This window comes from Homo sapiens, chromosome 18, assembly GCF_000001405.40.
Source record: "Homo sapiens chromosome 18, GRCh38.p14 Primary Assembly".
In the NCBI taxonomy this organism is placed as follows: domain Eukaryota; kingdom Metazoa; phylum Chordata; class Mammalia; order Primates; family Hominidae; genus Homo; species Homo sapiens.
Window position 1 is genome coordinate 50,039,297 of NC_000018.10, and position 15,308 is coordinate 50,054,604.

At 40.6% G+C, this 15,308-nt stretch overlaps 1 protein-coding gene across 1 annotated transcript in view; it reads right to left on the minus strand.

Moving 5' to 3' along the window:
- MYO5B (myosin VB) overlaps positions 1-15,308 on the minus strand; it is a 372,359-nt gene that overhangs the window by 216,508 nt on the left and 140,543 nt on the right. The window contains exon 3 of the mRNA NM_001080467.3: positions 847-1,018. Coding sequence (NP_001073936.1) covers positions 847-1,018 — 172 coding nt within the window. The remainder of the gene's footprint in view (positions 1-846; positions 1,019-15,308) is intronic.

Sequence of the window (15,308 nt, forward strand, 5' to 3'; positions counted from 1 at the left end):
GATATAGGAAAGGAGAAGTTTATTTCGTTGTTTTGTTTTGTTTTGTTTTTTTTGAGACATAGTCTCACTTTGTCACCCAGGCTGGAGTGCAGTGGCGCGATCTCGGCTCACTGCAAGCTCCGACTCCCCGGTTCAAGCGATTCTCCTGCCTCAGCCTCCCGAGTAGCTGGGACTACAGGCGCCCGCCACCACACCCGGCTAATTTTTTGTACTTTTAGTAGAGATGGGGTTTCACCATGTTAGTGAGGATGGTCTCAATCTCCTGACCTCGTGATCCGCCCGCCTCGGCCTCCCAAAGTGCTGGGATTACAGGCGTGAGCCACTGCGCCCGGCGGAAAGGAAAAGTTTTAAGAAAATCAAATATAATTTCATGACTTTTAAAATATGTTATGAATTTTGCTCACTATTTTGACAAATACTCATTGGGTATTATGTCAGTACAAACAGAGGCAAGTGAGAAGATCACAGAAAAGCAGGCTTTTCAAGTAGAAAATAAAACAAGGCAAAACAAAACAAGGGTTCGGTGCTGAGAGCAGGCGCCCAGCTCAGACACGATGCTGTACTTACTCCTCTCCCAGGACTCCAAGGACTGAGCTAAGCCAGTCGCACCACATGGTGTGACCCATTTCTTCCCTGGTTGATCCATGATTAACACCAATCATCCCACAGAGACTGGGGCAGCCTAATTAAGCCACATTCACTGATTGCAAACCTTTCAAGGGTCTCAGTGGAGAGATACTTACAAATGAGAGAGTGAAATGAGGACTCCTAAGCATTTGAGTTGAGCAAGTCTAAAGCTGGTAAGCACTTTCCAACGCATGCAGCCAACAGATGCCCCCCACTTACCACAGTAAGTGTAGATATGGTTGGACTCCAGGAAACGGACCTTCAAATTATGCAAAACTGCAGGCTCATGAAGATAGCTAAGGGCAGTCAGGTCATTTTCTCCCACCAAGATATCTGGATTCCGTAAGAAGGGCAGCTGGTTGCGTTGTACATCAATTGGGTATTCCAGAATCTAAAGACATGCAAGTAGCAGACACAAAAAGGTGGTTATGAAGCGTTAAGTCTGTATTCAATGTCCTGTCTTCTTAGCTGGAATCACCATCTTAACATGATAGTAAGTAATGAAGATAATGTTTTAAAGAAAGACAAGCTGAACAAAATACCTGTGTTGCCATGAGAGACCAGTCCAGATGGAAAATTTGCTGATAACATAACCCACAGAGCTCAGGAAACATAACCAGGTCTAAGAGAGTGTTCTATTGCTTCTTAAGGGAAAAATACTGAGTCTTTAATTTCAGTTGCAATTGGAATGCTGTTCTTTCTTCCATCTAGAAAAACTTCCTTGATTGGCCCCATTTATTGCTGGTACTTCATACACTCTCCCCCATTAACCAACACACTCCATTTTTATCTGGATCATCTTGTATCTGATGAACTGCCCTCTATAAGCGGCCTCAAGTTGAACCATTTGTGCATATATTTCTCCCCAACTAACTGCACGTTCTTCTAGGGCAGTAATTTTGCTTTCACCTAAAATATATTAGGAGTTTGAGACATATGTGCATAACCAGGGAGTAGGATTACACATTTTAAGGTCAAATCTCAGATGCGAGGTGTTATCCTTGTATTCTTAGCACTTGGACAACATTAAGCACCCAAAAATGTTCATTGACAGGATACATTTATAACCCTCGGTACATGTATGCACACATGTACATCTAACACAGGTAGTTTATAAGAAGGTAGTGGGGATGTTTTTAAACATTTAAACAGGAGGAACTTGGCTGCTGCTCACCATGTATTATCTGAGTGCTAAGATTCTTATGGTGTTCTTAAAAATCTTCTGAGACGCTTATAAAGTTTCCTGAGCCCAACCTACTTATCAGGAATTCTGAGGCAGGATTCAGGCAACTGAAATTTAAAATACATTCCCAAGTAATTCTGATACAGGTGGCTTTTAGATCATATTTTAAGAATTTCTGTTTTACATAAAACTTTTAGGAAATTCTATGGACACAGACTCAATTTACTGGGGTAATAGTCAATTTTCAAGATAATATAAATATCAATGTTCCTCTCACCCCATCTTTAGAGGGACTCGGTTATCAAATGTTAAGGTATATTAACAAACCCAGCAATGAAAGGGCTAAGATAGGCAGATAAATCAAGTGTAGTAGATACAGAAAGAAACACTAGCACATACAGAAAAATTGTATGTTATAATGTTAAATTGCAAATAAAAGGTTAAAAGGATCTTTTCAAGTAGTATTGGTAAGTAAATTAGCTAGCCATTTAGGGAAAAAAAAATTAGACCAGTATTCTTATTCTTATTCTCTCTTACCAAAATAAGTTTAGATAGAACAAACATTAAAAAAAAATTTTTTTAACTGGGCAAGTATTTGTGTAAGTTTTGGAAGTAAGAACTTTTGAAGAATTATGCAAAAGCCAAAACCATGTAGGAAAATATTTATAAATTTGACTATAATTTAAAACTTTAAACCTATCATAAAACCTACCATTTGCAAAGTCAAATGGGAAAAGGGAAAAGGAGACAGCGATTCTTCATCATACAATGGAATTCCTAATCTTAATATACAAAGAGTTATAAGAAATTAAAAAGAAAACCAACACCCCAACAGAAAATCATACCTAGAATACAAATCACAAAATAGCACATGAACAGATGAAAAACTATTCAACTTCATCAGTAACCAAAGAGATTCAAGTAAAAGATTATCAGCACTATTATCAGACTGACAAGACCCTAACAAGGAAGAGGGCAGACAAACAGTTACACCACTTGTGGGGACAGATTGGTTTATCTCTGGAGGGCAGCAGGCAATACCTAAATCAGAATTTTTCATTGATGAACTCTTCCTTCCTTGATCTCATGAAATAATTTCACAAATGAGCCAAGATATGGACTCACTGAAGCTATAGATAGTGAAAGAAAAACTACAGGGACAGTCAGGCAGCTACCTACAGCATTCTTCTGAATTAAAAAAAAAAGTATCCTATAGGAATAAAGTTTGTAAGAGAATTCCCTTTATTTAAAACTGTTTTAAAGGCTAGATGGATGACCGTGCAAAATATCATTGGTTATCTTTGTTAGTGGGATTTCCTTTAGACAGTTTCCTGTTTTTTTCTTTATATTAATGAAGCCTCTTTTTTTGTGAAAAGCTTTTTTATTTATATTAAACTTTGTCTATACAGGAAACCAGTGAACAATTAACTATCATGTAGACGATGCAGAAAAATTTCCAAAAGGTGGGAACAGGGGGAAATGGCGAATGTCCGAGGGCTGATTTTTATTTCATTCAATTCCAGAGTTGCAGGCTTCTTCATCCACTGTTCCTGGTATTAGCAGGATTCTTAGCAGGATTCTAATCAGACCTCCCTCCCCACAAAGCATCCCAACCACACCTCGGTGGAGATGTCCCCGGACCTGAGAGAGCACAGCTGCCCTCCTCTCCCGGGCTCTGCACCCAGCTCAGAAGGCAGCACAGGGACCGCCAGGTGCAGAGCCACAGAGCTCATGTCTTTCAGATTAGAAAGCCAGGACCTGAGTACTCCTCTTTCAGATTAGAAAGCCAGGACCTGAGCCCAACGGCTTCAACTCCTGAGGCAGAAATGCTGGCCTCCTCTAGATTCTCAGATGAATCTCTTCAACTCTTCCCCCCAAGGATGTAAACTAATACAACCACTATGGAAAATAGTGTGTAGATTCCTTAAAGAACTAAAAGTAGAACTACCATTTGATCTAGCAAACCCACTATTGTGTATCTACCCAGAGGAAAAGAAGTCATTACATGAAAAAGATACTTGCTCATGCACGTTTATAGCAGCACAATTCACAATTCCAAAATTTGGAACCAACCCAAATGCCCATCAATGAGTGGATAAAGAAATTGTGGTGTGTGTGTATATATACACAAATATATATATACATAAATATTCATATATTTATAAATATATTTATATTTATATATTATATATAATATATAATATAAATATATAAAATATATATTTTATATATTTATATTATATATAATATAAATATATTATATAATATATAATATATTAAATATATTTAAATATATTAAATATTAAATATTTAAATATATTTAAATATATTAAATATTAAATATTTAAATATATTTGTATATATTTACATATATAAATATATTTTTATATATAAATATAAATATATTTATAAGTATATAAATATATTTTATATATAAATATAAATGTATTTATAAGTATATATATTTTTATATAAAAATATATTTATAAGTATATAAATATATAAATATATATAAATATATAAATATATTAAATATATTTATAAATATGTAAATATATAAAATATATTTATAAATATATATAAATATATATTTATATATAAAGTGGAATTATTACTCAGCCATAAAAAGGAATGAATGGCATTAGCAGCAATCTGGATGGGACTGGAGATTCTAAGTAACTCAGGAATAGAAAACCAAACATTGTATGTTCTCACTCATAAGCAGGAGCTAAGCTATGAGGATGCAAAGGCATAAAAATGATACAATGGACTTTGGGGACTTAGGGGAAAAGGAGTGAGGGATAAAAGACTACAAATTGGGTTCAGTGTACACTGCTTGGGAGATGGGTGCACCAAAATCTCAGAAATCAGCACTAAAGAACTTACTCATCTAACCAAATACCACCTATTCCCCAAAAACCTATGGCAATAAAAAATTTTTTTAAAAAAAGCACGTGGAGGCAAACACACATGCAGTTTTGTGAAAACTGCAGCTGCAAATAAACAAGTGGTATTGGTTTCAGTAAAACTGATAAGGAGTAAAAATGCCCAGAGCAGCAGAAAAGAGGTGGGGGCTGCAAGCTCAGCAGCCAAAGGTGCAGATTCTTGGATGTGTGGACGTCCAGAGGGAAGGCAGGAGTGAGAGACTTGAGAGCAGATTTTTTTTCTGTAACAGGAATTTGATTCTAATATTGCTGCTAGTGTCTGGCATTTACAGCTAATATGGTTTTATTTGACATCTAAGTGTTTATGACTTAGTGATCGCAGCCATGAACTTTCTGGCACAAAAGATTCCATCCACTCCATAATAACTGGGCCTTTAGAGGTGAAAAGGAGGCTAAATGTTAACAATTCTCACAAAATTAATACTTAGTCACCACTCAGAGTGGACCTTGCCTCCTTTCTGCAACTAGGAGCTGGGAATCAGGAACAGATGGAGGTCCCCAGTTGGTCCCTGCCTGACAAGCAGGACTAGATGAGTGAGAGTGGCAGGAGGCCTAGAGTAGGAACTGGTCTATACCTGAGCTCTCCAGCAGGGTAGCCCCGAGCCCCATGTGGCTATTTCAGTGAAATTAATAAAATTAAATTCAACTGAAACCTCAGTTTCTCAGTCACACTAGCCACTGTTAATACAAAGTGACTGAGGTAGGTCTCGATTAACAGAGGTTTGTCTACACAAGGCTGAGGATGCCGGCAGGGAAAAATATAAGATGCAGGAGATCTGCAGCCTATGCTTTGTCCAGGGGGGTTTGGGAGCTTCAGTATTTAAAGGGGAAAGAGCAAGTAGGAGGGGGGAAAAAGGAGGGAGAGGGAGGGTAGGCAGTGAGACACATGGTTACATTCTTGTGAGGCTCTGATTAGCCTCAGTAAATCCATATTTTACATGTGAAAAGAGGGAGAAAATGAAAAAGTCCATTGTGCATTTGTCTCAGAGTAGGCAGAGGGATGATTTCTGTTCTTGTCCTTGTGCTGTACCTGTGAAGATAGGCTGGTAATTGACATTGTCACGGTTAAGAGTCAACAGAACTCAGTTTTGTATGCCTAGTTTATAGGAGTGACATGTACCCTGGAATATTTAGGGACTCAAGAAATTTCGTTGTAAGCAATTTGTGAGGAAAGCCACCTGGGGAGATAATGTGGTTTTCTATCACTGTGGGAACATGGCTTACAGATGAGGCTATGACACAGGGCTGCAAAATTACAGCTGTTTGCAAACAGAAGGAAAGTAGTATTGCGTGACTCAGTTCCCAAGCTTAAATTTCCCTTTGGCACAGTGAGTTTGGAGTCCTGAGAGTTTTTCTTTTTGAGACAGAGTCTTGCTCTACTGCCCAGCCTGGAGTGCAATGAGGCAATCTTGACTAACTGCAATCTCCGCCTCCTGAGCTCAAGTGATCCTCCTGCCTCGGCCTCCCAAGTAGCTCGGACTACAGTTATGTGCCATCACACTTGGCTAATTTTTGTATTTTTGGTAGAGACAGGGTTTCACCATGTTGCCCAGGCTGGCCTAGAACTGCCCAGGTGATCCACCTACCTCAGCCTCCCAAAGTGTGAGATTACAGGTGTGAGCCGCCACGATCCTGGCCTCCAAGAGTTAATATATTTTCTTTCACATCACATTTTAAGGGTCCAATAACTACATGTAGCTAATGACTGACACATTAGACAACTGAGATACAGAACATTCCACCACAGCCAATGTTCTATTGGTAGCGCTGGCCTAGACTGTTCTAAGCCCTGTGGGCCTATGATCCTATACTACTTAGTAGGTGCTCAAAAAATATTAGTTGAGTGAAATGTCTGATTCACTGATAACTTCTCCCATACCTCAATCTATGTCTGTGTTACATAGTACAACAGCAAGATGGTATAATCATAAAAACATGTTTGAATGACACTCCCAAAGATTTGGAACTAATAATAATCATACAGTGGACAGAAGAGGAGAAAGAATTGGCTTTTATTATCTACCCATGGAACCAGAAGATCTAGAAAAAAAGATATGCTAGTAAAAACAGGGTTACCAGCTGGCAAGAAGTTGGTGTTGACCCAGAGGTGGAAATCGCACCGAATAGGAGTCAACCCCTGTATTCAACTCCTGGTCCATCAAAGCAGTGGCTCTCAACCCTCCCTGCACACTGGAATCCCTGGGAGAGCTTTTAAGAAAGATAACCTACATCCCATCCCAAGATTGTTTAATTAGTCTGCCTGAAACCTAGGCTTTGCCTTTTAAGTTCTCCAGGGGTTTGTAATGCACAGCCAAAGTTGAGAAAAACTGAACCCAAGTTCTGTAAGGCCTTGAGCCCATCACTTGACTTCCAGGAAACTCAGTTTCCCTAATTGTAAGATGGGAAGCCTAGTTTCAGCAATCTTCAAGGGTCATTCCAACTTCATTGGCTGAAGGTTTTTAACTTAGGTCCATGGATGCAGGGGTTTTCTCATTTGTCAAATTACAACAGCTATCCTAGAAGAAAAACAATGTTAAGGAAACTCTATTCCCAGGTAAGAGGAGGCCTCAAAGCTTAAGTCCACTTACCCTCACTACAGTAGCAAGCATGTGGCTCTAGGTTCATTTAACATGCATTAAAAGGTTGTTTTGTGCTATGTCCTAGACAAGCACAAAAAAACACAAACAAGATATAGACCAATGGAACAGAACAGAGCCCTCAGAAATAACGCCGCATATCTACAACTATCTAATCTTTGACAAACCTGACAAAAACAAGCAATGGGGAAAGGATTCCCTATTTAATAAATGGTGCTGGGAAAACTGGCTAGCCATATGTAGAAAGCTGAAACTGGATCCCTTCCTTACACCTTATACAAAAATTCATTCAAGATGGATTAAAGACTTACATGTTAGACCTAAAACCATAAAAACCCTAGAAGAAAACCTAGGCAATACCATTCAGGACATAGGCATGGGCAAGGACTTCATGTCTAAAACACCAAAAGCAATGGCAACAAAAGCCAAAATTGACAAATGGGATCTAATTCAACTAAAGAGCTTCTGCACAGCAAAAGAAACTACCATCGGAGTGAACAGACAACCTACAGAATGGGAGAAAATTTTTGCAACCTACTCATCTGACAAAGGGCTAATATCCAGAATCTACAATGAACTCTAACAAATTTACAAGAAAAAAACAAACAACCCCATCAAAAAGTGGGTGAAGGATATGAACAGACACTTCTCAAGAGAAGACATTTATGCAACCAAAAAACACATGAAAAGATGCTCACCATCACTGGCCATCAGAGAAATGCAAATCAAAACCACAATGAGATACCATCTCACACCAGTTAGAATGGCAATCATTAAAAAGTCAGGAAACAACAGGTGCTGGAGAGGATGTGGAGAAATAGAAACACTTTTACACTGTTGGTGGTACTGTAAACTAGTTCAACCATTGTGGAAGTCAGTGTGGCGATTCCTCAGGGATCTAGAACTAGAAATACCACTTGATACAGCCATCCCATTACTGGGTATATACCCAAAGTATTATAAATCATGCTGCTATAAAGACACATGCACACGTATGTTTATTGCGGCACTATTCACAATAGCAAAGACTTGGAACCAACCCAAATGTCCAACAACGGTAGACTGGATTAAGAAAATGTGGCACATATACACCATGGAATACTATGCAGCCATAAAAATGATGAGTTCATGTCCTTTGTAGGGACATGGATGAAGCTGGAAACCATCATTCTCAGCAAACTATCACAAGGACGAAAAACCAAACACCACATGTTCTCACTGATAGGTAGGAATTGAACAATGAGAACACTTGGACACAGGAAGGGGAACATCACACGCCGGGGACTGTTGTGGGGTGGGGGGAGGGGGGAGGGATAGCATTAGGAGATATACCTAATGTAAATGACCAGTTAATGGGTGCAGCACACCAACATGGCACATGTATACATATGTAACAAACCTGCACGTTGTGCACATGTACCCAAAACCTTTAAGTATAATAATAATAATAATAATAAAGTGTACAAAAAAAAAAACACAAACATTTAATGACTGTTCTGCTGTGTCTCATTCTCTAACAGTCCCGTGTTTAAGTTTTATCACCATCTTCTCCAATCCCCAGAAAGCTTATTCTCCTTAAAGAGAACCTTCTTATTCTTCCTCTTGCACCATGAAGCACAGCACAGGCACTCAATTACTTGAAAAATAAAATACTCTGATTTATGTAACCTTCCCAATTAGGAAATTCAGTTAAGTTATGAGGAAGTAGCAAATTAACCCTGAAACTTCAGTGGCTTAATACTGCAAAGGTTTATTTCTCATTTATGCTAGGTGCACAAGGCTGGCTGGTACTGAGGCTCTGCTCTCTAAGGTCACACTGACACCAACATGCTGCCTGACAGTCACCAGGCAGAGGAAGAGAAGGGCACAGCAAACTCCTGTGGGTTCGTCTCTCCTTCCACCTGAAGTGATCAACATCAGTTCTACTTAGCACCCACTCGACAAAAGTAATCACAGGGTCCCACTGAACTGCAAGGGAGCTACGAACCATGGCGAAGCATGAAGGTATCATCTCTGCCACCCTAAGCGTTCCTGCTCTGAGAAGTCAGCAGGAAATCCAAGTAGTATCCAAAAGGGTTTCAAAAAGAGTGTGGGCCAGTCATGGTGGCTCATGCCTGTAATCCCAGCACTTTGGGAGGCAGAGGCTGGCAGATCACCTGAGCTCAGGAGTTCGAGATCAGCCTGGCCAATATGGTGAAACTCCGTCTCTACTTAAAATACAAAAATTAGCTGGCGTGGTGGCATACGCTTGTAATCCCAGCTACTCAGGAGGCTGAGGCACAAGAATTACTTGAACCGGGGGGGCAGAGGTTGAAGTGTGCCGAGATTGCACCACTGCACCCCAGCCTGGGCAACAGAGTGAGACTCCATCTCAGGAAAAAAAAAAAAAAAAAAGTGTGAAGTTGGAGGACTCAGAGACTCAGATACAAGGGTGAGTGGAGTAGCATCAAATATCCTGCCATGGCCACCACTGTTTTAGAAAGACTTCTACAGATTCTTGAAATTAAGTTTTTCATATTCTAAACCCTATATTGTATATTTTCATCATAAGTTGGATGGAAAACTTCACAAAGGTACAGATATGTCATTTTTACTGCTGTATAATCAGACTCTGGCACATAATTGCTCAATAATAATTTTTAATGAATGAATGATAAATCAACAGTGATGCAAGTAATTAGAAGAAAAGTCTATAAATGAAAAGCTACTGATAAACTGCCTGGTCAACACAATTAAGAGGTTTGAATTATAAACAAGAATACAGCAGCATAAAAATATGGAGTCAAAGTTCATCTTTTGACTTCAATTTATTCCACTGCTTACACATTCTGTCAGAACCATAGAGCCACAGTTTAACTCCTAACTTGGTGTACTCCAGCAATGGACAGACCAGACCACTTTCCTTATGGGCTTAAACCTGAGTTTCCCAGCCTTGTCACTGTTAACATCTGGGGCTGGATAGTTCTCTGTTGTGGGGGTGCCACCTTGTGCATTACGGAGCACTGAGAAGCATCCCACTAGATGCCAGTAGCAAATCCTCCTCATGACAGTTGTGACAACCAAAACTGTGCCCAGACATTGCCAAATGTTCGGGGCAGGGGTGCAAGTTGCTGCCCCACTCATCTCTAATCTGAAGCAGCTGGGCAAAGCATCCTAATCTATGGGAAAAAAATTAGCAGGAAAAATAGGTCAATGACAATAAATTAGAGCTTCAAGGGTACTCAGCTGCAGACAGACGGTGGTGATGGTCACACAACATTGTGAATATACTTAATGCCACTGAACTGTACACTTAAACATAGTGAAAATGTTGAATCATTATGTGTATTTTACCACAATTTTTTTTTACACTTTGACTCTTTAGACAAGATGACTAATTAGTGGTAGCAATATTACCAGTAGATAATTATATGCATTATACTTTATGCTGAAACATTTTGTGTGTGTACAATATAACCATAACTGAGCAACTGAAAGCAAGATAAAGATAAAAATAAAAAATTATTAGGAGACCCAAAAACCAGCATTATAAGAACTAAAATGGCCAGCTAAAAGAAGAAGTAATCAAACTCTACCTCTACTAAGAAGCTTTGGTGGCTCCAGAAGGGTATCCTCAGACACTCTTAGCTCTCTGGTTTTGCCAGATGTGTGCACAGCAGGCATTTAAGTTGCACTGAGTACACAAGGGCTCTGCATTCTCAAGGTGAACGAGTCTGAGTGCACCAATATGCAAGGACAATAGTCCTAGTGGTTTTGTGAGACTATAGCTTCTTGACATGAGGAACCATGTTTGATTAGGACCTTGCTATAATGTCTTCATATGTTCAGTACCATCCTTAGACCTGAGCAAGAGGGATCCCTTCCCTGACACTGTGTTGCAGAGGGCATTAAATATCACAAAATATAAATTATTAAAGAATACATGGTGTGCCTCCATCCTTGGGATCAACATTCAGTGCTGTCACAGCATGACCTGAAATGCTCAACGCCGCTCTGGTGACTAACACCTTCAGGCCTCAGAGAAACGCTTCTCCACACCTTGTCCTGTGATTCTGAAATAAGACAACAGTGCCCAGCTGCCTTGAGGTTCATGGGTTGTAACACTGCCAGCACTGGAGAAATGATGCTTTGGAGTGTGGGGAAGAATCAGACAGCAAAGAGGCTTAGGTAAAAGGGAGGACAAACTCATTATCCTTCCTTTCAGATAGCACATGCAAAAGATTCTTACATAATGGATTATCATTTTCCAATTAGGCCAAGCATCCAAGTCCTTGCTTCTCCACGTGCTCTTGTCGTGGTTCCAGGGGTACTAAGTATTTGCAACCTCTGCAACATGACAGAGGAGGAATGCTTTGCAATACTGAACAATTCATACTACTCTTATGTGTTTACACATATGTGCAGGTATAACATGCCCAAACCAAGATAGTGATTCCACATATTGGCAGCTGGATAGAAACTGAATAGAATTGCAACTATCTTTATTTTTAAAATAGTAAATGTTTAACAATGTTTTTAATTAAAAATATGAGATTTAAATAATTTGATAAAATATACTTTAAACAGATGTAGGGTTACATTCTCTTGCCCTGGCCCTCCAAATGTCAGGGTGGGCTTGGAAATACTGAGACGGTAGAGTGTGTTACTCTTTGAAAAGCTCACATGCTCCCCTGTCTTCCTCTCACTCATGAATGCTAAGTCAGGGCCTTGCCCAGAGGGAGTACTCATCATCAAGGTGGGTGATAGATAGTAGATACAAACTCAGTTGGAAAATGAAATTTAAATTAAAAACCATGGAAACAAGGAGAGTTTTCCCTGACACTAGAAGGCAGGAGTCAAGCAGTCAAAAAGGGAGGTGGGGCCAGGAGAGAGAAGGCCTGGCCTGCACAGAGGTGCTCCAGGCAGAGCATGCAGAAGCTACCTCATCACCAAGTTTTGCATCCCCTGAAAGCCTGATCCACTCTAAAAACAGTCTTGTGCTAAGAGTTGGCACACCTAGATACCTTGTACCCATCATGGCTCTGGGGAGAAAAAGGTATAAGATGTTATTCCCCCAAGAAGTTTATCATCTTGTTTACTTCAATATGAAACATCTTACATTATGCCAGGTGAAATAAGCCAGACACAAAAGGACAAATACTGTATGATTCCACTTCTGTGAGGTACCTGGGATCGTCAAACTCAGAGACAGAGTAGAAAGGAGGTTTCCAGGTGCTGTGGGGAGAGAAGAGATTGGGAAGTTGGTGTTTAATGGGGACCAAGTTTCAGTTGTAAAAGAGGAAGAGTTCTGAAGGAGAGTGGTGATGGTTACACAATGTAAATACCACTGAGTTGCTGCTGACTGCCACACAATGAGATACCATCTCACACCAGTTAGAATGGCGATCATTAAAAAGTCAGGAAACAACAGGTGCTGGAGAGGATGTGGAGAAATAGGAACACTTTTACACTGCTGGTGGGACTGTAAACTAGTTCGACCATTGTGGAAGTCAGTGTGGCGATTCCTCAGGGATCTAGAACTAGAAATACCTTTTGACCCAGCCATCCCATTACTGGGTATATACCAAAAGGACTATAAATCATGCTGCTATAAAGACACATGCAAACGTATGTTTACTGCGGCACTATTCACAATAGCAAAGACTTGGAACCAACCCAAATGTCCAACAATGATAGACTGGATTAAGAAAATGTGGCACATATACACCATGAAATACTATGCAGCCATAAAAAATGATGAGTTCATGTCCTTTGTAGGGACATGGATGAAATTGGAAATCATCATTCTCAGTAAACTATCACAAGGACAAAAAACCAAACACCGCATGTTCTCACTCATAGATAGGAATTGAACAATGAGAACACATGGACACGGGAAGGGGAACATCACACTCTGGGGACTGTTGTGGGGTGGGGGGAGGGGGGAGGGATAGCATTAGGAGATATACCTAATGCTAATTGATGAGTTAATGGGTACAGCACACCAGCATGGCACATGTATACATATGTAACTAACCTGCACATTGTGCACATGTACCCTAAAACTTAAAGTATAATAAAAAAAAAAGGTTAGCATGGTAAATTTTATGCTACATATATTTTACCACAATAGATATGAATGAATGAATGAGTGAAAACCAGAGTGAAAAAACTTTTTAGAGGCACGGAGAGAAGCTTGACTGTCTTCAAGAGGGGACAAGTTAGCAAGCAGGCGGAAGGTCCTATCATAAGTCAGAGGTTAGGAATATCATTGTCTTCCTGGAAGATAATCTAACTGATGTTAATCCTTTGCTGATGCAGTGAAACCCACACTATTGAACTTCAGGGGGAGGGAGGATGCACGAGGTTGGTTGGAAGAGGCTGCTGGGGCAGATTTTCCAGCCAGCATAGTACACCATGGATAATTTCAGCTTCAGAGGAGACTCTCTGCATTCAAAGTGTGGCCACGTAATTTCTGTGCTCCTGCCTCTAGTCCACAGCTCTGCCAAGTCACTCATAATGATAGCTCAGAGCCAGCCATGGACAAGCCACTGCCCATGAGCAACCTGGACAGACTCAGATGTTCAGAGCCCATTATTTCTCGAGAACTGCTAATCTCTAGAGCCAGGCTTCCCTTCCAATTACATGCTGCCTGGCCTTGTAGCAGGGGAAGGAGGAGATGGGGTCTGGGCAGCTGCCACAGTTAGTCATGCAGGGCCAAATTCGTTTTCAGCAGGGTGGGCGAGCATCTGCTCTGTTTTAGCAACATGGCAGATCATTCCTCACTACCTCCGTGCAACTTTTTAAAAACACCCACCCACTAGAAAAGATCAACTGAAACGAAATCTGCTGGAGTAGAGTAGAAGATACACCATTCAAGTGGGTGGACTAATTTCATTTTTTTTTCCTGGGGGTGGGGTGGGAAGTTATTCAACATGGTAAACATAATTCCATCTGTTGGGAGTTGTGCTTCTCATCTCAAAAGCAAGAGGTGGCTAGCGAAAGCTGCCTACTAGGAAGAGGAATGTGAGGGGTGCACACCTCAGTACAGACGTTTTCTAATAAGCTCATGTTCTGGGTTTACCAAGTGATATGCTTAAGTTGATACAAAACAGAAGTTAGTGGTAGGATGTTCAATCAACAAGTTAATCACCAACCATCTAGAAAAGGAGACAAGACCAAGAATAGGCAGGAAATGATCAGAGGATATGGTACACACTTTTAGTGCTGTTGCCATTCAGAGAGGAAACAGTATCTCCAACCCAAACCTTTTCTCCAAGCAATGTCTGTTCTGCAGCCCAAACTCAATCCATCCCAAAGCCAACCCTTAATTTGTTACCAACCATTTTCTTCCAAACCTATTTTTCTCCCAGTCGTCTCCCCCACCGTAAAGCCTGCATGAACTACCTCTGCCTGCATCCTCAGTCTGAAGCCACCCAACAGTCCTCTTCCCCGACAGCTCCCAGATGCACTGGCCTCCTTCCCTTTCCTGGAACACAAGAAGGTCTCAGGGCTTTGGCACACACAGTTCCTGCCTGGGACACCCTACTCTTGGTCACCGCACCCTGAATCTTCCATGGCCAGCTCCTTCCCAAAACCCCCTCTCCTCAAGAGGAGTCCCAGCTACTCCAGGGGCTGAGGCAGGAAGAGGATCACTTGAACCCAGGAGTTTCAGGCCCACCTGGGCAACACAGCAAGATCTCATCTCTTTAAAAATAAAAAGAGTGGGTTCCTTTTCTCTCCTATACCTCATGCACTCACTTCCATGCCTACTGCCATTTATCATAATACTTTGTCTCCCTTTTGTGTTCATGTTCACTGCCCCCCTTTAGCACTGAGCTATCTGAAACAGCAGGGCCACAACCGTTTACCCATCTGCCCCCTGGGACCTGGCACAGCATATAGGGTGAGCATCCATTATTTGTGAAATGCACCAGTTGCAGAGGCAGTGGTCACAAAAGGCTCATGAGAAGGTAA